The sequence below is a fragment of the Homo sapiens genome, chromosome 15, assembly GCF_000001405.40.
Source record: "Homo sapiens chromosome 15, GRCh38.p14 Primary Assembly".
In the NCBI taxonomy this organism is placed as follows: Eukaryota; Metazoa; Chordata; class Mammalia; order Primates; family Hominidae; genus Homo; species Homo sapiens.
In genome coordinates this window covers 32661850-32685566 of record NC_000015.10, presented here as the reverse complement: position 1 = coordinate 32685566, position 23717 = coordinate 32661850, and the positions used below count along the sequence as shown (strand labels likewise).

Genomic DNA, 23717 nt, shown 5'->3' with positions numbered 1-23717 from the left:
TTATTACAAACATTGATAAAAATGTGGAGTGGGGTAGTGCTAAGACACACAGAATACCATGTGAAATCTCCCTCCCTATTTACATGGACTCTTTAACAAGCCCCATTTTGGTGACATTCTGTTGCCTAGGCTGTATCTTTCCACCTCTTCCAATAGGGGAACATAAAACGATCTTGTCAAATGCTTTGCAAAAGTCCAAATGCACCATGCCCACTGCATTTCCCTCATCAAGCTGGCAAATAAATGAATAATGCTGGCAAATGGAAGAATATAATTAGATTGGCAAGACTTGTTTTTAGCACACTGATGCCAAATGGTCATGATTTATCTTTCCAAGTGCTTATAAACAACTCCCTTAACTGACAGCTATATGCACTTACCTAGGACTGACAGCAATCTCACTGCTACACATCACGGAATATTTTTTCTCTTTCTATAAAGCAGAATTATATATATCTGTTTCTAAGCTCTGGCATCTTTATTCCCTTGATTCTGCAGAGATCATCTCCCTTAGTTTAGAGATCACATTTGCAAATTTTCTGTGTCAATTAAAAAAAATCATATCCTTTGATAAAACCCTATAGAGATGCATGAAACACTGGTGAAATTTAGGATGTGTATGACACAGGCTGTGAAGCAGACCAGAGTAGAAGACTCTGGAGACTATGGTCAATGTTAGGTTGCTGTCTCTTTAGTTGGATTTGGTATAGTGCTGCCTGGACACATAAGTGTGGTTTTGAGTAGTCATGACTTGAAGCTCTGTCAACCAGAGATTTCTGAAAAATTAGCTTCTAAATAATTTTTCTTCTCTCCTTCTGCCCATATTGCTCATCCCTGCCATCAGCACCTTCAGAGTACCAAAGTGCAAAATCTACTAACAATTGAGATAGGACTTACCCACTTGCCCAAGCCTGGATAGTCATGTTCCGGATCAAAGAGATGCTGGTGCAACTGGAACTCTCGACTGAACTCTGCAGTGTCAGGGGTGTTTTCTAGACATCCATCATCTGCTGCAAACAGCCAAAGGTTTTTGAGGAACGGCCAAGACATTCATCATTATTCTAAGAGTTAATTTATCAAAAACAACTAGGCAGCCAAAGGTCAGAATCTGTTCACATCAGTAGTAACTTAGAACACTAGCAGCCACCTTCCCTCTAGGATCCAGTTAGATAGGATTACTCATCTCAAACTCCCACTCCTGTGCAGAGACTCACTGGCTGTTCACCAAACCCACTTCCCTTTCCTCCTTAGCACCCAGCTAGACTAATTTCCCAGCCTTGCTTTGCAATCACGTGGAGTCATTTGCCTGAGTGGAGGCCAACAGAATGTGGGCACAAGTAATGTATTCCATTCCCAGGCCTGGAATTGAAATACATCACCTAAAAGCATAAAAACCTCTCATACCATGCTCCACTTCTCCTCATTCCCCACCCCCATCTCCTGGTCAGCTTGTTACATGTTGCCAGGGCAACTGTGGGGGTCAAGTGTAAAGATGGCAGTCTGGGGTGCCGAACCATCCACCGCACTACAGCCTCACGCGCCTCTGGCAGGACTTCACACGGGTGAAAAATAAACTTCTATTGCGTTGAGCCATACAATGTTTTTATTTGTTACAAGAGCAAGTGTTTCCTTAGGTAACATACTTCTGTTGCACATGACCCACTCTGTTTTCTCCTGAGCAAGCAGTTTAGAAACTACTTTGGCTTCTTGGAGAAAGTACATTACACAACAACAACAATCTCCACACAGCACTTGATGTTGTGTTTTATTGTGATAACAGCTTAAGCTTTGGAGTCAGACAAGAGCAGAGCTCAAGGATCAAATCCCAGCTCCTAAGATATAGATAGGCTTAGTTCCTTTGGAAAGTTAACTTGGTCTCTCCAAGTTTGTTCATGTATGTGTGAGATGCAAATAATCAAATACTTACCTACGGGATTGCTGTGAGGAATAGAGATGATTACATTTAGAACACCCGGCACATAATAGGTTTGCAATATGTTTTAGTTCCCTTCCCATTATCTCCCTTTGACTGACAGTTTATACTATGACTGCCCTTTGAAATCAAGCAAGTTTTCCATTGAAACCAAAGAAAGAAGGCTATCTCTCTCAGATGCTGCTTTTATGTAAATTCTATTATTACTAGGCATGATGCTCTAAAAATGAGTCATTTTTCCCATGTCTAATATATTTTAGACAACAGCAATAAAAAGGGGGACAGAGGAGGGATTGTGAATTTTGTGCAGGGTTAGGGGGAAGAAGGAGGGTCTCATTTGAAAGACATAATGAGACATCAAAGTCAATGCTGAAAGGGGGGCCATTTACAATTAGCCAGGTTGTCTAGTTCTTGACACTGCTCTTAAGCTTTCAGTACACAGTCTCTCAGCTCTTAGCAGTATACAGCTAGTGTGGAAGTCATCAGCATTCTGAACAAATCCCTAATGCGGCTCTCCACTTTTCAGTGAGCTATTTATCTAACTTACACAATATATAGCAATTAACATGTAGGAAAATATACCAATTCAAGAGAGTTCAGGCAATCTGCATATGGCACCTTTATAACCTTTCATAATTGTTTCTGGTGTACCTCTGAGTGGGCCCTGACTGAGATGCAGATAAAGCCTGCTCTGGGAACCGAAGGTGTCTCCGGGCTTAAAAATGTGCCCTAGAATTCACATCCTATCTCTGAGGCTGAGATGGACTCTTTGAGCTCTGCTGCTCTATCCAGGGTGAGTGGGCCATGATTCAGAGGACAGCATGGCATGAAAGGAGAAATCAAGGTTTTATTCTTGGATTGCTCAACTGTGCTGTGTTGTGTCATAATTCAAGCAATTCCTCACAAATAATGGCTAAATTTAGCAAGCGATTTCATTCTTGGAATGCAGATTGTGGCAGAACAAAGAATGAGGGAATATGTTAGTTTCATGGAAGAACAGCAAAGGAAATGGCAGACAACCTGTGACAAGAAAGTGTCTGGATTTGGGATTTTGTCCAATTCTACCAGGCCAGCTTGATTGCTGTCCTCTCAGAGCTCCTAAGTGCACAGACTAGAGCTTGATTCCACAGGTCTGTATGATTTTGTGTTTTTATTGTTTTTGTTTTCAGACAAGCTAGAACTACACTGTATGCTCTTTGGAGGCATTGCCTATGTCTTCCTTCCATAGGTGAAGACATTAAGGCTCAAGAAAGTGAAAGTGGCATACTACAGTCAACACTAGAGGTCAGATCTCTTGGCTCAAACTCTGGACCTCTTTCCATTCTCCTATAATATTCTCTAAGTTCAGTGTGCACTAGAACCATGAGGAGGACTGGTTGCAACAAATTCCTGGGTCCCACCCCCAGAATCTTCTGATTCAATAGGTTGAATCAGGGTAGGGACTGAGAAGTTGCATTTTTAGCAAGTTTTCAGGTGCTGCTGCTGCTGGTGGTCCTGGAATCACACTTTAAGAACCACTGCACTGTACCACATCCAATGGACTTAACAATGGAGACTGTCGCTCTCTAAACTCTGAACTAGTCTTTCTTCCTACCCATCCAAAACCCTACAAACAAGTAGAAGGTGGCTGAAATGATTAGAGCCAGGCAGGGATTCAGGTTTTCCTGCCTTCCTGGCCCAGCAGCCACACATTGGCTTGGTCACATCCAACTACTTTGGTTGTTCTGCCTCAAGATGGAAGCTTTGTGCCCCACGGAAAACAGAGGCCTCATCCTAAATGAAAGGAGGAGCATATTTTCTAAGACAGTCTCTTTCAGAGACAGCCTGCATTGTGTTTAAGAAAAGCTGATGTCAGACTAGTTATGGGTATCATAAGAAAAAAAAGTCTCGGTGTGGTAGCTCACACCCATAATCCCAGCACCTTGGAAGGCCAAGGTGGGAGGATCGTTTGAGCTCTGAAGTTTGAGTTTAGCCTGGGCAACATAATGAGACCCCACCTCTACAAAAAATTTAAAAATTAGCTGGGCATGGTGGCACACACCTGTTGTCCCAGCTACTTGGAAGGCTGAGGCACAGAATTACTATAATTGTGCCACTACACTCCCACCTGGGCAACAAAGTAAGACCCTATCTCAAAAAAAAAAAAAAGAAAAAGAAAAAGAAAAAAAGTTGAGTAGTCAATGTTATCACAATTTTCAGAGCAAGGCAGTATGTCCTGGTGGTTGAGTACACAGTCCTTAATCAGGTAGACTTGGGTTTGAGTCTTGGTTCAGCTACTTGTTACCTGGATAACCTTATGCAAGCTACTCTCTAAGCTTCTGTTTTCTTAATATAAAGTAGAAATAATATTAGATTGGTGCAAAAGTATTGCAGTTTTTCCTATTGAAAGCAATAGTAAAAAGTGCAATTACTTTTGCACCAACCTGATAAATACCAACTATTATTATTATTAGGCTTGCAGGAAAAGACTACTCTGGTGCTAGAAGCTAACACAAGCCCAAGGTAAGAGGTGCATTATTTACTAGGGGCAGCAAAGCTAATTATAATCAGGATGACATTTAAAGAGTCCTTACTCTGTGCTAGGTGCTGTGCTAAAATGCTTTACATGGATAATTTTATTTAATTCCCACAATGACCTCCATTTTGCAAATAAGGAAATTGAGGTACGAAGTGGTTAATTAACTTGTTTAAGGTCACACAGGTTGACCTGGAGTTTGAACTCAGGTAGTCAGAGTCTAGAGCCACTACTCTTAACCACCAAGGTCAGCTGCTCAAAGCCGGATGTAAGTGAAGCCCACTCACCATTCTCTATGGCATTAGTGGGTAGGAAAGTGGGTGGGATGCATGAACAACATGGAAAATTTCAACCTTCTTCCTTAACCAGCTTCTTCCTGAACCTCTTCTCTCCCATGCCACCTCCTGGCCCCCAAATAAACAGGATTTTAGGATAGATGCTAACTCGGTGTTGATGCATGACACTGTTAGAATGTTGACTGTCATGATCAACGAGGAGAACAAACAGGCATGGATAATCCACAAACTAACTAGTTCCAAAGACATTAAAACTCAGCAGAAGTTGTATCATGGAAAAGGAAAAAAAAGTGTTTCCCCTTTCATTAAAAGAGTAGCAAGTGCAGGCCGGGCGCAGTGGCTCACGACTGTAATCCCAGCACTTTGGGAGGCCGAGGAGGGTGGATCATGAGGTCAGGAGATTGAGACCATCCTGGCTAACACGCTGAATCCCCGTCTCTACTAAAAATACAAAAAAAAATTAGCCAGGAGTGGTGGCAGGCGCCTGTAGTCCCAGGTACTCGGGAGGCTGAGGCAGGAGAATGGCATGAACCTGGGAGGCGGAGCGTGCAGTGCACCAAGATCACACCACTGCACTCCAGCCTGGGTGACACAGCGAGACTTTGTCTCAAAAAAAAAAAAAAAAAAAGAGTAGCAAGTGCAGAAAAGTGCATCAATTCCCAAAGAAGGGGAGACACAGAAAGAAAGTAAAGCCTTGGCAAGGGAAAATCCTATGTGGGTGTGTCTGAACACAGAGCTCATATAAAAATTCTAGAATAAATTTCCCCTTCCCATCTACTTACAAATACACATGGGCTCATCAGAATGGAAATAACAATTTCTGGGAATATTTGTAGCTGATGTTAGAATTTCTGATTTCCTTCCAAAGCCCCAACTTTTCATGGGAACCCAAAGGCATATCTGTTACCTGTTTTTCCAACAGGACAGGGATTTGGAGGGTCTGGGTACCCCTGATCCTCACTAAAGTCCTTAGGAATGTTGTCTCCAGTCAACTCTGCCACGATGTTGGGGATGTTGCCAAAAGGACCCAAATGCTGAAGTCCTTCATGAGCTCCACCTGCGAGGGAATCAGAAGTAGTTCATTGCAGTGCAATTCAATTAATTTCAACCAATATTTATTCAGGCATATCACACAGGAAAAGCCCTGTGCCTTCTGCTGTGGGGAGAGAAAAATAAATGAAATGGTTCTTGCCCTCTAGGGGTTTAGAAATTTAGTTGCAGAAACAGACACATACTGTACACATATTATTTCCATACAAGGCAAACTGTATATTATCCTGTAAAAGAAATGTTAATACAGCATCACAAGAGCATGGGAAAGGGGCCAGGCCTGGTGGCTCATGCCTGTCATTGCAGCACTTTGCGAAGCCGAGGTAGGCGAATCACCTGAGGTCTAAGTGCAAGACCAGCCTGGCCAACATAATGAAACCCCGGCTCTACTAAAAAACAAAAATACAAAAACTAGCCAGGCATGGTGGCAGGTGCCTGTAATCCCAGCTACTCAAGAGGCTGAGGCAGGAGAATCACTTGAACCCGAGAAGTGGAGGTTGCAGTGAGCCAAGATCATGCCACTGCACTCCAGCCTGAGCGACAGAGCAAAACTCTGTCTCAAAAAAAGAAAAAAAAAAAGAGCATGGGAAAGGGAGAGTTCCATTTGGCTGATGGGATGGGAGGGCTTCTTGGAAAAGCTGGAAACTAAGTGGCATCAACACAGATGGGTAGGGCTCTGGAAGCTGGGCGTGGAGCTTGGGCAGGACTTGGGTCAAGAAAGGAAGGCAATTGCCATCCAGAAATACAGGCTGAAAGCACATTATGAAAAAAGATAAGGTCACTGTTATCCTGCTATTTTAGCTCAACCACTTAAAATTTGGTGTATTGACTCCAATTGTTGCTACGTATCTTTTTATACTAAGTATATATTCATTTCTATTTAATATTGAAGCACAAGCATCTTTCCATTTGGCTGCATGGTCTCTATTCCTGTAATTATAAATGGCTATGTAGTTTTTAGTCCAATGGCTGTACTACAACATATTAACCAATCCCCTATTGTGAGACATTTAGTGTTTCCCAATTCATTTTAGACATTTAATGTTTTCCATATTTTGGATTAATTTTCCTCAGGATAGATTCCCAGAAGTCAAATTACTAGGTCAAAGGCTATAAAACATTTTAATGACTCTTGATATTGTATTGCCAAACTGTTTTCCAAAAACGAGGTACCAATTTATAAGCCATCAGCAGCAAAATATGAAATACAACTTTTGCAACATTCTCACAAGCATTGGGTTTTATGAAAATCAATTTTTAGATTTTCTTTGCTAATTCAAATTTTTTAAAATTACTGTTTTATTTTGAATGTCTTTGATTACCAGCTGGGTCAAATATCTTCCCATATATTTACTAATTTTAATTTCTTTTATGTGAGCTGTTTGTTTATGCTCTTGGAATTTCAGTGTTTTTCTTATCAATTTGTATGAACATTTTACATAATAAAGATGCAAGGCCTTTGGCTGTCGCATTTTCTGAAAATATTTTCCCATGTTGTCTGAGTTTGAATTCTGGTTACTATTATAGTATTTTGCTAACATACGTTTTTAATATTTATGTAGTCAGATTTGTCATTTTTATTCCCCTTGTGATTTCTTCTTATCCTTCTAAATGCACAAAATCGTTGCCCCTTCAGAAGTACTACTGACATTTGGATCATTCTTTTAATTTTCTATTTGTAAGTTAACTCTTTAATCCATGTTATTTATTTCAGTGTATGTCAAACAGTTAATCAATTATCCCACCAGCATTTGCTAAATAATTCTGTCCTTTCCTACTTGTTTCATGTCTCTACCAAATACTTAAGTGTCTCATACATACGAAAACCTATTCTGAGCACCAAAACACAGCAGTGAATAAGAACAACTTCTACTCCATAACTTGTTTTACTAAGTTACCAAGTTAACATACCAATGTATGTTAATTTCTGGACTTTCTTTCCTTGTAGCCTTAACATTCTATAAGGCTCATGAAGCTTCCTTTTCCAGGACCACAGCAGATCATTTCTTAGAAGGATTTCATACTTACCAACTCCATGAGGACAGAGGAGCCCCACACTCACAGTTCCCCTAAGGGACAATCATGGTGTACGCAGACCAATACAGGAAAGGCTGGTTTACAATCAAAAGGTGCCTGGTGTGCATGACATTTGAGCAAAACCAGGCAAAAACAACACCATGCTTCCATCTTCTCATGAAGGAGGATCCTGCCACAGGCTGGATTAGTTAAGTCTAGTTGAATGAGGCTCCCTTGTCCCTGGATGAACACTAGCACTTGCCTTTGTTTGTTTTGGCTGAGCCAGCTCTTCGTTGGATTCACACTTTTTTCCCCCATTGGAAATGTTAATATATTCAGTAGAATCATGACTAGATCTCAGTGTCCTGGGGATCATATTTTCTCTCTGAAGTGACATTGCATCACTCTGGCTTTGTGTGCTGTGTTGATTAAAGTTTAACCTTAAAAGGACAATCTTACCTCTGCTGATTCCTCTAGCCCCCGCATTCAGGCAACATCGAGTGGTTGTTCGCTTGTTTTGTTTACATTTATATTATATTTCATTGCTTTGTAATGAGAATGATGAGAAGTATCTAGCCCAGATCTAGGTCACTGCTTTGTAATGAGAGAAACTGTAAAATATCTGCATTTAAAAAAAATGCTATTTCTTTTGTAAACTACCATATTATTTTTGTAAAATTTCCATGTGAATATGTAATATAAGGTATTTTATATAACCCATAAACATCTAAATATAGCCAATTTATCAACATTTATAATTATATTCTTTTTATATCCATATTCATATTTTATCTCTAGTCTATCATAATCTGATGGCTATATGTTAAAATCTACTACTAACAATAAGTGACTGTCATTCTCTTATTTCTTACTGTTTTTATCATTTTGATGCTGTACTAGTTAGCATATCCAAGGGTATAAATGTTTCATTTTAATTGTGTTGGCAATTGGCTGCTAAATATAAATTGATAAATCAGATGTTGATTTATAGTTCTATTAGCTTGCCACTCTCACTCTGTTGATTTGTGTTTAATTGGTAAATCTTTGATTATCCTTTTATTTTTAACCTTTCTGTATCTTTCTGATGATTCATCCAGCTCATTTGTGATAGCTACCTTCAGAGCTAGTGTAGGGATACCTATGATTCCACATTAACCCAATAGATGCAAAGGTTAGACATATCAGTACACTTGGTATTGATATATTTGAAGCTTTATATAATGTTGGCACTATAGACACCACTGTGCTTGCTATAGGGCAGGCTCTCTGGTGTGTCAGTACATGTCTCAACTTTTGAAAGCACCCTAGCATTAAGTGCCAGGAATTATCCAACTTGGCTCAAGGCAGAATGCGTGTCTTAATGCTCCATTAGTAATTAATGAAGGAAGCAAACAGTTTCTCTTATGGAAGGCCTGCCAAAGCTCCGTTTACCTCTGTGCACCAGTGCCATTAAAATGAATGCAGCACTTGTTAGGAAGCAACAGATGTTTAGCACTAAGCAGACAGATTAGAACACAGACTCTTTTTAAACTGCATTTAATGATGTCAGATCAAGAAACACTCACTGAGGTAGGAACTGAGGGAGATATGCAGAAGTAAAAAATGCTGTCCTTTGCACTCCAGGAGCTAGAATTTTATAGACAATTAAACAGGTATAGAAAATATAATAATTTTAATATTATACAGTTGCAAAGGGCCAAATGCAGTTATCTGGTTCATTATAATATTTAGGTTATATTGATCTATTGTACCTGAAGCCAAGTCAAACAAAATAATATGATGCTATGGATGCCATTTGGTCTATTCATCCCAGCCTCCTTAACTATCTTACTGCACTAACCAACAACAAATAATCTAAAAATATGCATTGAGCACATAATATATAATCAAAACCTGGGCTAGGTACTAGAGGGTCAGTGATGAACCAGATAAATGTAGGCTCTGCTCTCATAGTTCATAGAGAAACAAAAAGAAACAAACGTAATACAGCCAGTTGTAATGCACTGATAATGTAACCAGGATACGGCAGTGTGTCACAGTTGTGTAGAGGAGAAGTATCTAGCCCAGATCTAGGCCACGGAAGACTCCCTGTAGCAACATACTGTGTAGCAATAATTACGTTAGGTGCTATAGACGACATAAATGTGAAAGACATAGTTCCTGTTCTCTAGTTCGTTCTTCATTCTAGTTGGTTACCCATGACTAACACAATAAGCCAGTAGTACATAATAAGATATATTCCCAACATAATGTATTGTAGTATAGACAATAGATGGTGGTATAGAGAACAGACCATTGTACAAAGCTAGGTTGGAGAGAAATTAAGAAGTTCTTCTCTAAGAGTGTTGCTGAAACTCAGGAGTGAAGTGACAAGGATTGGAATTAGGGTGGCTGCAACATGAGTTAAATAAGATTTCTAGCAGTGCACAGGAGAGAGATGAGTCAAAAGCTTGTGAGGTTTCAAAATCTGATTTGAGAAAAGAATACCATTAATAAAGATAGGATCTTTCACTTACAGCTTTGAAATTATTTCAGGCAATTAATTAATCCTGTCCTGTGATGATGCTTTATTTATGTTTCCACCACAGCCATGGCACTCTAAAAATGTCTCTAGAATAAATGGAAAATATTTAATTCTTGCCAAATGAGTTTTAAGCCCAGTTGCGTTTATATAAACTTTGCTTTATATAATAAAATTGGTACCATGCAGCTGTTTATTTCTAAGCTCTAGATATCAAATCATTGGTAGACTTTCTTTGTATTGCCATGGCAATAAAGTTGCACTCAGATGTAATTGTCAAGGGAATGAGAAAGAAGGACAGTTGGTCTTATTTGAGTCAGAACCCTTAAATCTCTTTCTTGGCCTGTGCTGGAACCCTCCATAAAAATCTGCCAATCTTTTGACCGCATCCTGCTCTTCTCTGCATTCTCACCCTCTGCTATGTGCCTCCAATTCTCCCTTCTGTACGTATCCCTTTGAGGTTGGCAATTCAGCTGGGAAGTTGACCTGGTTGGTTTGAGTCTCTCCCTGGCCTTGGAGACCTGATCAACCTCAGCTCCAAGTTTTGCCACTCATGGTCTTGTTCGGTGTTAACAAAGCCCCCAACAGCACTCCCAAGGACAACCTCTAACAACTCCAATGATCGCTTGTCCAGAAGAGGGCACTAACTTTTCTGGTTACTTAAAAACTCCCTTGGGTTTCAAATCCATTTTCCTGTCTCTATGATTTTGAAGATCAGTTGTTAGTACCTAGTAAACAGAAATATGAAAATTAAATACCTTCTGACCCCCAAAGTTTTACTTGGCTCTGAACAGCCATGGCCTTTTTGTTGCACTGGTAGGGTTTTTTTCATTGTTTAATTTTAGAGTAAATCTCTGTTATCATATTTTATCTTGATATAATTTGACTCTCTAAAATGTGCATAAAAAACAAAATCCGAATTAACAGAGGTTTCCGATTATAGTACCATCTCACTTATCTCTTTAGAGAGAACGTGCTGTTTCATGTAGTATTCAGATCACTGAAGCATCGGTTTAAGATCAAGATTTATTTAACCATTTTAAAGGAGAATTTTCCACTATGAACATTAGGTAAATACTTTAAACAGCAGGAGAATATGACTTTGCCTGTTCTTGATAATTTGGGACTATTACTGGGAATATCAATGACTATACAGTGTTGTAACAGTGTATTCTCAGAGTATTAAAGGGCATTCGGATATAAAACTATATTAAATGGGCCGGGTGCGGTGGCTCACACCTATAATGCCAGCACTTTGGGAGGCAGAGGCGGGTGGATCACAAGGTTAGGAGTTCAAGACCAGCCTGGCCAAGATGGTGAAACCCCATTTCTACTAAAAATACAATTACAGGCAGGCGCCTGTAATCCCAACTACTCAGGAGGCTGAGGCAGGAGAATCACTTGAACTTGGGGAGTAGAGGTTGCAGTGAACCGAGATCATGCCACTGCACTCCAGCCTGGGCGGCAAAGTGAGACTCCGTCTCAAAACAAACAAACAAACAAACCTATATTAAATGGTCCCAGATGCAATAGTTTTTAATGTTCTTTGTCACCTCACTCCTTCTAAGTTATTAATTCTAGTCATCCCAAATCCTTTCCATAATGAAATACAATAAATTGAGAGTGCGCCTAGGCCCTGCAAGTCTCTTCTAATTTTACCCTCCCCCGCACAACACACACACACACACACACACACACACACACACACGGGGATCTTATCCAAATGTGGATTCTGATTCAAGGTGAAGGGTGGGGCCTGAGATTCTGCATTCCTCACAAGCTCCCAGATAGTGCAGATGCTGCTGGTCCATGAGCCACATTTTCAGTAATAAGGGGCTAGAAAATGAGAGAGCCAGGCTTATTAAAATTATATATAAAATGAGATAAAATTAGCTCCGAGAGAGTGCCTAGGTGATCTTGCTTTATGGAATTTGTGACATCGGTGTGGCTGCTAAGAACCTTCTTAAAAGTCTGCAGTTTCAGATAAAGGAGCTGTCACTGCCGTTGTAGTCCTTTTACTTAAAGTTTTACTCTACAGAGGCACTTGCTCACACTTTGCAAGGAAAGGATCCTGCTGCCCCATTTTTTACTTACGCTAGTTCTGTGGGAATTAGAGGTAAACACCTCCCTTGAACGTGAGTTCTCATAGTATAAGCGATGTCCGTTGGAGAGCCTGATGATGTCCCACCACGATGCAACGGCTCTCCTGGCTGGGGCTAGTGGAAGCAGTTTTGATGGAAGTTAAGGTTGGTCAGAAATTAAGAACATAAATGGGACCTGCGTTACTTCGTCACTCTGTCTCTTTTTTTTTTTTTTTTTTTTGTGATGTTATGGTTTCAACAGTTTCAAAGTGCTTTCATCCTTATTAAAAACGTCCTAGTGAGGTCAGTAGGACAAGAATCACTATTCATCATTCTAAGTGAGAAAGTGAGACCTGGGGAAAGGTTTCTTGCCTAAAGCCACTCAGCAAGTTGGTGCTATTTTGGATTCCAGCCCTGTGTTCACTCTACAGTGGCACTGAGAGAGCCCCCACGAGGCCTTCTGCGTCCATTCATACCCTTTCCAGTGCGTTTCCGTCTTCCAAAGATGAGCTGGAGCTCCACAGCCACAGTTAGTAGAATGACCTGTCGGGGTACCTGGGGTCTCTCATAGTTTCCAGGTCACTCAGGGGATCTCCGGTGTCAGTGACTACTGCAGAGCCAGGCCCCGGCAAAATGGCTCTGGGATGGGACGCCACCTGTGGGCCTCGCCACCATGGTTCCTTCGCACCTGAGTGCCCACCTCACGCTGGAGGTTTGGAACATCCGGACAACCCCTGCCCTCCAGACTCTGCCACACAACTTGGGAACACCCTGACAAGCCCGCAGCCAGCATCGTCCCATTCGCACCCCTCACGCTGCCTGCAGCCCTGGGGATTCATGCAATTGGGCACTGGCGCTGGGCAATAAAGAATTGTGGTGGGGCAGCCTGGTGCCAGGGAGCCAGTCGCCCACCTCGTAAAAAGGGAGTTCTGTGAGGAGCGTCTGGCAGGGAGCGGGCACAGGCCCCTGAATACCAGCCATTCAGCTGAAGGGAACGGGTCCAGCAGTTTTCACTTATGTTACCACAAACAGCAGATGCTAAAAATACACTGCGGTCTCGATACATCATTCAGAAAGCGACGGACCAGTTTTCCTTTTGTCAGCGGTCTGGGAGCCTGAAGCAGTCGGATGGGGCATTCCAGACACCGCCTGGCCTCCTTTGGTTTCCCCTCAGACTCTGACAGAGCTGAAGGTGCCAGCGCGAGAGCGCCCGAGGAGACCAGGAGAGAAGGTGGAGAGGCGGCAAGGCTCCCCAGGCTAAGGGAAGGCAAAGCGGAGTGGGGCGAGGAAGGGGCGGGGTGGCTCCTTCTGGAGGCCACAGAACAGCCTGGGACTCCCTGAGGCGACACCGGCCGCAGGCACCAGGCACTGGGGGCTAAGAGAAACCCCGAGACCCAGAAATCTCCTTCCTAAGGTCCAACTTGCCCCAAAAGTTGTTTTTTCTTTTTTTTTTTTCACTACTTGAGGTAAACACATACACAATTTTACAAAAAGCGCCATCACTTGTCCACAATCAGAGGACTCATTCGTCAGCTTCTATACAATCTGCGCTTGGTTTCTCCTTCTCAGTAAGCACTCAGGCAGTTCCACCACACGCTATTGTCTCCACAGGAAAGAAGAAGACAGAGGCAAAGAGAAAGAGCAGGAGAGGGAGAAACAGATTGGCCCCTAGGAATGGGGAAAGGAGGCTGAAAGAAATGGCCAACATGAGGGTGGAACTTCATATTTTAGATGTCTGACTCCCAGTTTCTGCTTCCTCCATCCCAAGTAACTGAAGTGAGATAAAAGAAAAGAACAGAGTCATTTTCACACATCCTTTCTCAAAATTCACTCTTATTTATAAGACCTTTTGGCCTTGACTCCTGGTGAGAAATGAGGGTCCCAACATTCAAACCTATTTATGAAAAGCAAATATTTTCATTTACTGAGGACCCACAGAAAGAGAGCACTTTTTATACAAAGAGGCTTTTATAGCTTCCTGTTGTTAGGGCCCTGAGTTCAAGTCCACATTCTGCCACACACTGTGGGATTCTCATAACCTCCCAATCTCACTGGACCCCAATTCCTCCCCTTTTAACCCGGGGATAACATGCTTGTGGGAGGATACAAATCGGATACTGTATGTAAAATGCTTACCTCAGTACCTGGTATGTAATAAGCACTCCATGAACGTTAGCTGCTTTTCCTATCTAGTCAACATTTCCTAACAGCACAATTAACAGAGCCGAAATTAATGATCCTGCATATTTTTCATTGTGGTGATCATGGTCCTGTGTTTGAGGTATTGAGCAACAGGGCTCAGGACATTTGAGCTTTTTACTAACATCAGTGCCTCCTCATCAATTCAAAACTAAATAAAGTCATGCTTTGCCTAACAAAGTTACAAATCCAGGCAGCATAATCCCTTCTCTCAAGGAGCTTGCTCTCCAATAATAGGGGACAAAATATGTCCACATAAACACACATCTGATGTTTGTGCCTGGTGGAAGAGATCATGAGCACTAGCGGAGAAGAGAAATTTGTCTCCCATAATGGGAAAATGAACACACAATAGTTTATACTTAGAGATGGATATTATCACCTCAGCTCTCCTCCCTAGTAACAGAATTTAGTTTAAGCTGTTTAGAATGGTGAGGGTTTATGTTGCAATATCCACATTCTCTAAACTCACATGACAAGTGACCCCCAAAGCACACAGCATTTGGTAATTGAGAAAAACAAAGGAATGATTCTATCTGTGCTGAATTGGCTAATTCATTGACTTGCCTCAGGGCAGAGGGCTGGCCCTGGCAGTTTGCTAGAGTGATCCTTCTGCTCTGAATTCGAGCCTGGTCCCTCACAGGGACTGCCCCACATAGCCGGCAAGGGCAGACACCCTGGCTGGCACTATCCTGTCCTTGTAGGAGAGATCTAAATTGGGTTGAGCCTGTTGGCAGATAAGCAAAATGAAACCCATTCGGATATTTTGTCTTGAAAGGCATTTGTTTTCATTCCTTCTCTTTCTTCTTCTGCTTTTCCCCCTCATACTAGGATCTAAAAAACTCAGGCTCCTTGGGGACCAAAGCCAACATTATCATCATCTACTCAGAGGCACGCAAACAGTGAAGGCAGAGACGCAAATTCTGAGTGCACTGCATTTGTAGCTTTCACATCTACATGTGGTCCCAATTTAGGATCACAAGCAGAGTTGTTTATTTTAGAAAAGCTTTTTAGTTAACTTTTAAGGTATTTTGCTTAAGCATTGCTTGCTTTCCAAAAGGAGAAAACGTGTATTTTTTTTTTTTTCTGAAGCGGTGTTTGTTTTGGCTGTTTACTCATTTGCAAAAGTTCAAATTTTATCCTATGAATTTAACTAATTTTTCTGTAGTCACCACAAACCCCACCCCCTCTAACACATACACACAAAACCCCAAAATAAAATAATCTGGAAGTGAAGCATTTTTAGGAGAGGTGTGAATTTAGCAGGTTTTGAAAAAGCCGTTTCAAATAGGTAATTTGCAATAGCACTTTTAGCTCCTTCATGTAACTTTTATTTGCCGTCTGAAATGAAGTCTCAACTTGGCAATTTGTATGAAGGCTAAGCATGTCTTTATACTAAGGTTAAGGCTCATGTTTGTCCTTTAAAAACTTTATTTTATAATTCTTGCTGAAATTATATGGCTTAGCTGAGGGTCAGAGTGGAGCTTAAGTTGAGGTATCAGTTATTATTGAAAAAATAACGGGATATAGAACTGTGGTGGTGGTGGTTGGGATTCGGTGAGGATATGGACACAAAACTGTGAAAAAGTAAAAATATGGACTTGGGCTCTCTAGCATCTGGTTCCATATACAGGCCTACCGCCTCCAATTATCTAAAGCTCCCACTTCATCTTCCTTTCTGAAACTACACTTACTTATGACATCATTTGTCCAGAACCTGAGCCCCACCTCTCTGTTCTCAATGACATAGCAGGTCCTATGTATCATTCCTTTGGGTAAGCTTCTCTACTAACATGATAATGAGTGCTAATTAACATGTAGTACTCTGCTCCTGTAGGATTTGCAACTTAGAGGATTTCTGGGATAATTCTCTTAAAGTAGTGACTTCACCAACAGGAATTCCAGGCCCCCTGGTGTGCCAGCTCAAGGGATAAGCAGAGTATGTCGGGTTCCCAGGTAAGGAAAAGGGGCAATGGCAATGACAATCCTGCAGGCAGAAATAAAGACATTAGGGGCCAAACCAGAGCCAGGTAAATGCATAGGAAGTTTATAATTAGTGACCCAGCATCCAAGGAGATAGCTTCCTACACTTAAGAAACGAGTAAAGGAGATCTGCAGGAGCTTAGGGAAGAGAGAAGCAATGAATGGCTGAGCCAACAGATGACATTAACACCAAGACACCACCGTGAGAGTGGAGGTGACCCTCCGCCCCAGACCCAAAGCTCTCTGATGGTTTCTGTTGAGGGTCACCTTCCAGTCAGCCTGGGCTTCACAGAGGAAGCAGGTCACTGGGGACTATGGTTGAGGAGGTGTGGATAAGGGTTAGCAGGAACTGTGTTGGACCCATTCTGGATGGGATGAGGTGGGAGTGGCAGGGCCTGGCAGCGCTGTGCCCATTCAGAGCCCCTTCCACCAGCTGACCTGGTTCCGCACTGGCCAGGGGAGTGGTCCTAGCACAGATTTTGGGTACACGGCTTGGGAATGTAATTATTCCATCATGTCACTTCCACCCATATGTCTGTAGACTAAAACGAGGAGACTCCATCTGAGTCTGACAAGGCCTTTTGGGCCACGACAAGGAACGTGATTCTCACTTGGCCTTACAAATTCGTACCTGAATTAATTACCATTCCTCTACTTCTTTTTCACTATCCTAAGCTGCTGTAAATCCATAAGTGTTCTTTATAAATGGCTAGAATAAACATTTGTTTTAGACAGTAATCTCATAGAAAATTCTTTTCTGTTTCTGAGTTCCCAGCAGCTACTACTATTTTTTGGCAGCTGGTGGTGGGGTGAGGGTTAATTCTAGCCTCGAGAGGAGAAGGCACGTGGTGTGTACGTTGGGGAGGGGCCCAGACTAAATCCTCTACAACCCTTTGGTAATGCTTTCCTGGCCTGTGGTTTCCCATCTCATACAAATATTCCCAATTTCTCTCTTTTATATCCATGTAACCTCTGCCTGGCAATAGGTATTAAGAATAAAGTGGGTCCGGTGGCTCATGCCTATAATCCCAGAAGTTTGGGAGGCCGAAGCGGGTGGATCACTTGAGGTCAGGAGTTTGAGACCAGCCTGGCCAACATGGTGAAACCCCATCTGTAATAAAAATACAAAAAAGTTATCCAGGCATGCTGGTGTGTGCCTGTAGTCCCAGTTACTCGAAAGGCTGAGGCAGGAGAATCACTTGCACCCAGGAGGCGGAGGCTGCAGTGAGCCGAGACTGTGCCACTGCACTCCAGCCTGGGCGACACAGTGAGACTCTGTCTCAAAAAAAAAAAAAGAATAAAACTACAACAAACCAAACAAAACAGTATTCACTAGTTATTATCAACTTTGTGCCAGACCTGGAGCCAGAACTCAATGTTATGTTAAAAGAGATAGACTCAAAGGCGGCCACAAAGCTGTGTGGACAGTGATGAGCAATTCGTGCCTTAAAGTCCAAAGGAGGTGCCTCCGGCAATACGCTCAGACAGCTGCAGCACTACACACAGACACTGGAAATACACCTCACAGAATTCTTCTGATTCTTAAAAATGGCAAGTCTCTTACCCACACATGGTAAAACGGGTGAAGAAAGCACACATAACTCAAATTCATAAAAACACCAAACTTATCTTTAAAAATGGGCTTCAACCTTCCCATCCACCCACTTCCAACCAAATTTTTAACTAGAACTATTGATGAAAAATAATGTTGGCCTGAGTCAGTTCTAGTCCCCTTTATATATTATTTTAAAATAGTATATAGCAGTGCTGTTCTATAGAAATAGAATATGAACTACATTTGTAATTTTAAATTGTCTAGTCTTCTCACTTCAAAAAGTAAAAAGAAATAGTGAAATTAAATAATTTTTAATCCCAATATATCCAAATTATCATTTCAACATGTAATTGATATAAAGAATTGCCAAAGAGACTTTTTATATTCTTTTTTGCATACTGTCTTCCAAATAGGGTGTGTAGTTTATACTTAGAGTACATCACAACTCCAGCCAGCCATATTTCAGGTGTTCAGTAGCCTCTTGGGCGTGGTGAATACCAAATCGGTCAGAGCAGGTGTATAGAGGAGGCTAGACATGGCGATCAAAAGTGCAGCCTGCAATCCAGATGCTTGAGTTTGAATATTGGCCTCATCACCTTAGCTGTATGACCTCATCTGTAAAACAAGAATACTTAAGTAATACCATCCTTAAGCCGTTGGTATGAGGATAAAATAAAATAGTCCTTGTAAGGCTTTTTGCAAGAATTCTGGCAAATATTGTGCTTAATAAATGTTAGCTAGGGTGGTCACTTTATAATGCATGAGCTCTATACTTAAAAACATATGTGGTCCTGAACAAGTTATCTTACCTCTTTGAATATTAGTTTCCTTCTCTGTAAAACAGGGGTGATAATAATACTTCATTGAGAAGATTAACTGGTACAAACATAGCACTTAATAAATGTTCGTTTCTTTCTCCTTGACTTTAGGTGCCAATGAACAGAGAAATAGCCAAAGGGCTCGCTGAGTGGGAGCAGAGGTAAATGGGCCTGGATAATTGGAAAACTGGATAGTCACGAGGTTAACTATGCCACAGGCAAGAATCCAGATGGTTCCAACCTACCTCAGCCAGTGTGAGAATGCCCAGTAGATGTGTTTCTTTTGTAGTTCCTTTACTAGAAGCTTTATAAGAGCAGGCATGTTCACTGTTTCACAGGCTAATAGAAATAAAGTATGTATGTGCATCTTATGTAACATATCCCTACGTATGTATGCTGAATTCAGTAGGCAGCCATGTTCAGTATTTTAGAGCTGTAGCCATCACTCAACTCCCTTGTGTTGATAAGAAGAAACATTCGGGGAAAAGAAGACCTATTTGTTTATTGTAAGATTCAAAATCTCTAAGGGTAATGGCCTTTATTTCTTTCCTACTCAGAAGTTTGTTTTTCCCTATTTAATAGCTCATACAGGATTTTGAAAAAGGAAAACTTAAAAATTTTAATTAGAACCATATCCTAAATATCCTTCTGCTCTTCTGCATGTTTGTTTATTTTTTCTTAGGATTGATTTGTTCAGAGTTTTGAAATTACCAGGGAAGAGCTTTTGAGGATGTTTGAGATCCATGATTCAAAACAGGGAGGGACACATGAGTGGCAGGTGACATCAGAAGCCACCAGCCATTCCTCAAATTGCCAGCTCTGGAGCCCTCCATCCTGCACTAGAAGGAGATACTGCAAACCCTGCCAAGGTGTTCATGCTTCTCGTGCTTTAACATTTCAAAAAGCTCAATTCCCAAAGACAGTGAAACTGCCACGAAAAACAAAATGAACTCTGGATGACAAGGAGGCCCAGTCATTTCTCCTATCAATGGAAAGGGCAATTTTGATCAGAGACAAATAGTACTTGATTTTACCTATAGGGACTTATGACTTATTCACAGCTCTGACTCCTCTTCTCCACAGGAATTCAATAATGTAAACCTAATAATAAAAAATGACATAAAATGAATGTAATGAGAACACCCTAAAACTAGTTTCCCTCCTGGCCTATCTCCATGTTGCATCTTTCAGAAAGTGTCAGAAACGAGACTTAAACAAACAAATAAAAAAAAAAACCCCAAACCAGAACCTAATGCTGATGTGATCGTTTAAATAAACTAAACACAACTGGATAAGGAAGCTGTTTTACAAAAATAAAAATAGAAAAAAATTTCTTGACAAGAGGCATGGATTATTCAGGATCCCTGTGTTATTCTAATTGTTTCAGTGCTATTAGGTGCATTTTAGGGGAATGTGGCCCTGATGGATAAATGCACCTTTAATTCATTTCTAAGGCAGTGATGTGAGATATAAGACTTTTTTGGGTAGGCACAACCCCAAAAATGTCATGTAAATCTTGAAAAGTTTTTCATCCAAAAACCCCAAAGGGTTTACTCATCTCAACATCTGCATTTGATAGGCAGAGGGAGAAGAATGACTACAAGAGGAAGATTATCTGAGATTAAAACTGGAGACCTCCTAGAGGCTGGGCTCCCATAGGCACCCTGGCCCAGACCACAGCAGGGAGGGAATTCCTCCATTCTGCCTTTGTGCCTCATCTCCTGAGTTAGAGATGGTAGCTTAGTTTCCTTTCTTGGTTCCCTTCTGTATTCCTTACAGATAAAGAGATGTTCAATACACATGTGTTGGCAGAATGGCCTCCATTTTATAAGAGTGGAGGTGACTTAGCAGGACACATGCTATTTATACAAACAGAAGAACCTAGCAGCACAAACATGAGTAGGGATCTCTTTATTACTGCTCCTGGAGGTGGATTTATAGTGAAGTGAATGAGGGCCCCTCATGGGCGCAGACTGCTTCCAAGGCCTGGAACCTAACTTTTCATTTGCAATTGTGTGTTATTTTTCTTGAAAAAAGTTTTCAAATTGCATGAGTTTCAGGCCTCACAAAACTTGAATCTGCTGTGGATTGCTCTTAAAAGCGGTATACAAACGCCATCTTGGATTTTTCACCTGTCATTATTTTAACTCCTAGTCATCCAAAGCAAATATAAATCAATTAGTTTTGTAGCCATGGACAAACGAGGCCTGGGTTTCCTCATTTCTGAAAATGAAAGGTGATTGAATATGATTCCTCAGATCCCAAAAGAGAGCAATGTAGGGAAGGAGGGCACAGTGAGAAACAGAAGGAGGCAAAGGCTAGGACACCCTGGTGCTGGCTACACTACTAATAGCTGGCGTATGACCTTCAGTGAAGAACTTTACCTCTCAGGGCCTCATTTTCTCTACTATGAAATGAGGCAGGCAGACAAGACATTCTCTAAGGTCCCATCTTGTCCCATGATTCCAGTGCCCTGACTTGTGCAGTGTGTCACCTCTCATGGCCACTCTCACTGGGTGCTCACAGTAGCCCTGAGACTAGTCAGTGGAACACTCTGGTGAGCTTCAGAATTCAAATTCAGTGCTCTTCTTACTATACCACATGGGAGATATTTTCCAGCTAAACCGTAAACAAGGCTAATATCATTGGTTTGATGGCCTTCAAATATGCACTGTTGTCATGCCGAGTCAAAGATGATAGTCTGACATAAACCAGCGTTGCAGTGTAGATGTGGCGAATGACAAGGGAGTGGCTCCTTTCCCACAAGAGGCACTGGACTTGAAGCTGCAGCTGGTACAGCCCATCTGCAGGGAAATGCCATTTTCTTCTCATGCCTCTGTTCAAAACTTGAGTCCCACTGCTTACAGCTAGACAATCATTAGAATCACTGGTGGCACTGAAAAAAATCCCAAGCAGCTCAGACTCCCTGGAACTACCATATTTGAATTCCTGGAGAGATTAGGGGCCAGGAATCTTTCATTTTAAGCTTCCCAGGTAATTCTGATGATCCACCAGGTAGGAAAAGTATTGTTCTACGTAGTTTTCTCTGTCCTAGCCAGCCTGGAAATGCTGTTTCTTTTAAAACAGTAAGTCTATCTGGATACCCTGATGCCTCCTGCCACAAAGTCAAGCTGGTATAGCATTGGCTAGGACAAGCAGTGACAGCCACAAAAGACCACCTATTCTGATTCCATTTATATGAAATGTCCAGAAGAGGCAAATTCACAGACATAGAAAGTAGAGTAGTGGTTTCCAGGGTCTGGGGAAAGGAGACTGAGGGAAGGAGTAAGGAGGCAGAGATGGGGGGAATGGCTAAGGGGAATGGAGTTTCTTTTGGGGCAATAAAAAATCTAAAATTGATACTACTATGTGAATATACCAAAAACCATTACATTGTATACTTTAAATTGTTGAATTGTATAGTATGTGAATTATATCTCAATAAAGCTGCCATTCATATATTATATATGTTATATATGTATATATGTATACATATGTGTATATATAACATATTATATATTATATATATATATATATATATATATATATATATATATATATATATATTCTTTTTTTTTAACAGCCCTAATCTTCTCTTCCCCGCTCTACACACAAACACACGTGCACCAACTCATGATCATTGACAGGTTAATTACAGAGGCCCAACTAATGTCCCACATGTATGAATGGCACTCCAATCACCTCGCTTGTGACCACCTTATTAATACTCTCCCCAGCTCTCCGCTCTCCTGCACCAGAGACATCAAATCGTCCCGGGCAGATGGCACCACCTGGTGGCCATTACAGGAAATCCTGACCGCACACCTCTGCACTACCTCCTCTCTCGCCATTCTTCCCTCTTCTTCCAACTTCAGGGCTCAGTTAATTCTATAGTTGAGGTGATCTCCAATTTATACAAAAGCACTCCCCTTCATCTCTCCTCCAACTTGCCTCAAGTCTTCCTCTACTGCTGCTAAATAGCTTAAAGAACTGTAGTTTTAAGTCTACATGTGAAAATGGAAAGAAACAAATCTTAAAGTGGATAGACAAAAATTAGATCTAATAAAGAAGCAATGCATCGTATTAACAAATATTTCAGAGACTAAGAAAAGCAAAAAGCTATATAATAGGAAGAGATGTTCTGTTTCATTGGTCATCAAATAAACACAAATAAAACAATGAAATGCCATTTTTGCCTATCAAATTAAAATACTTTAAAAAGTTAATACTTATAGTTAACAAGTGAGACAAGACACCCACAAACAAGTGAGAGAGAAAGCACAGCCATATAAGTCCAACACTTACAGAAAGCAACCTGACAGTATGTAGGAAATGCAGCCTAAACAATAGGTACAGAGCTTGACCCAATTATTCTTCTTTTCATAGAAATATATACCCCAGAGAATTTATCAAGACTGTACACAAACGTTTATGCACAAATATGTTCATTGAAGCTGTGTTTATGATGGGATAAACTGGAAAAACTCTAAATGGCCATTTGCAAAAATGCTTGAGTAAATTGAGGCATAAACATATAATAGGATATAATGCAGCTACTAAAAATAATTACACTGATTTTAATATAGGGATAGGTTCTTGATATAATATTAAGTATAAAAAGAGATAAAAGATTTACTGTATGATTTTAAAAACTACCTATGTGTGCACAGAAAACAGACTGGAAGAAAACATAGCCAAATGCTGAAAGTGGGTATCTCTAGGTGGTACGATTCTAAACAATCTTTATTTT

General features: G+C 41.1%; 2 protein-coding genes and 2 long non-coding RNA genes across 7 annotated transcripts in view, besides 1 other annotated feature; 1 reads left to right on the top strand and 3 right to left on the bottom strand.

Moving 5' to 3' along the window:
- The window catches only part of ARHGAP11A-SCG5 (ARHGAP11A-SCG5 readthrough), an 81623-nt gene that overhangs the window by 11532 nt on the left and 46374 nt on the right, over nucleotides 1-23717 (bottom strand). The window contains exons 11-12 of the mRNA NM_001368319.1: nucleotides 5652-5801; nucleotides 898-1007 (exon numbers count right to left, since the gene is read on the bottom strand). Of these exons, the coding sequence (NP_001355248.1) occupies nucleotides 898-1007; nucleotides 5652-5801 (260 nt within the window). The remainder of the gene's footprint in view (nucleotides 1-897; nucleotides 1008-5651; nucleotides 5802-23717) is intronic.
- The window catches only part of SCG5 (secretogranin V), a 55383-nt gene that overhangs the window by 11526 nt on the left and 20140 nt on the right, over nucleotides 1-23717 (bottom strand). For 2 of the 4 annotated variants that reach the window (NM_001144757.3, NM_001394278.1), the window contains exons 3-4: nucleotides 5652-5801; nucleotides 898-1010 (exon numbers count right to left, since the gene is read on the bottom strand). In NM_001144757.3, the coding sequence (NP_001138229.1) occupies nucleotides 898-1010; nucleotides 5652-5801 (263 nt within the window). The remainder of the gene's footprint in view (nucleotides 1-897; nucleotides 1011-5651; nucleotides 5802-23717) is intronic. The other 2 variants (NM_003020.5, NM_001394279.1) reach the window with 1 other exon arrangement.
- SCG5-AS1 (SCG5 antisense RNA 1) lies at nucleotides 12502-19865 on the top strand. Its single transcript, NR_135505.1, has 4 exons — nucleotides 12502-12577; nucleotides 16449-16567; nucleotides 19079-19128; nucleotides 19650-19865. It is a non-coding gene; the product is annotated as an SCG5 antisense RNA 1 (long non-coding RNA).
- Nucleotides 14853-15385: an enhancer, noted in NCBI's record as "NANOG hESC enhancer chr15:32962383-32962915 (GRCh37/hg19 assembly coordinates)". NCBI's record gives its function as "activates a minimal SCP1, AML or CMV promoter by ChIP-STARR-seq in naive H9 embryonic stem cells {active_cell/tissue: H9 hESC(naive)}" and the evidence as "EXISTENCE:reporter gene assay evidence [ECO:0000049][PMID:30033119]".
- On the bottom strand, nucleotides 18447-21976 carry LOC124903458 (uncharacterized). Its single transcript, XR_007064573.1, has 2 exons — nucleotides 20002-21976; nucleotides 18447-18764 (listed from the first exon to the last, which is right to left on the bottom strand). It is a non-coding gene; the product is annotated as an uncharacterized LOC124903458 (long non-coding RNA).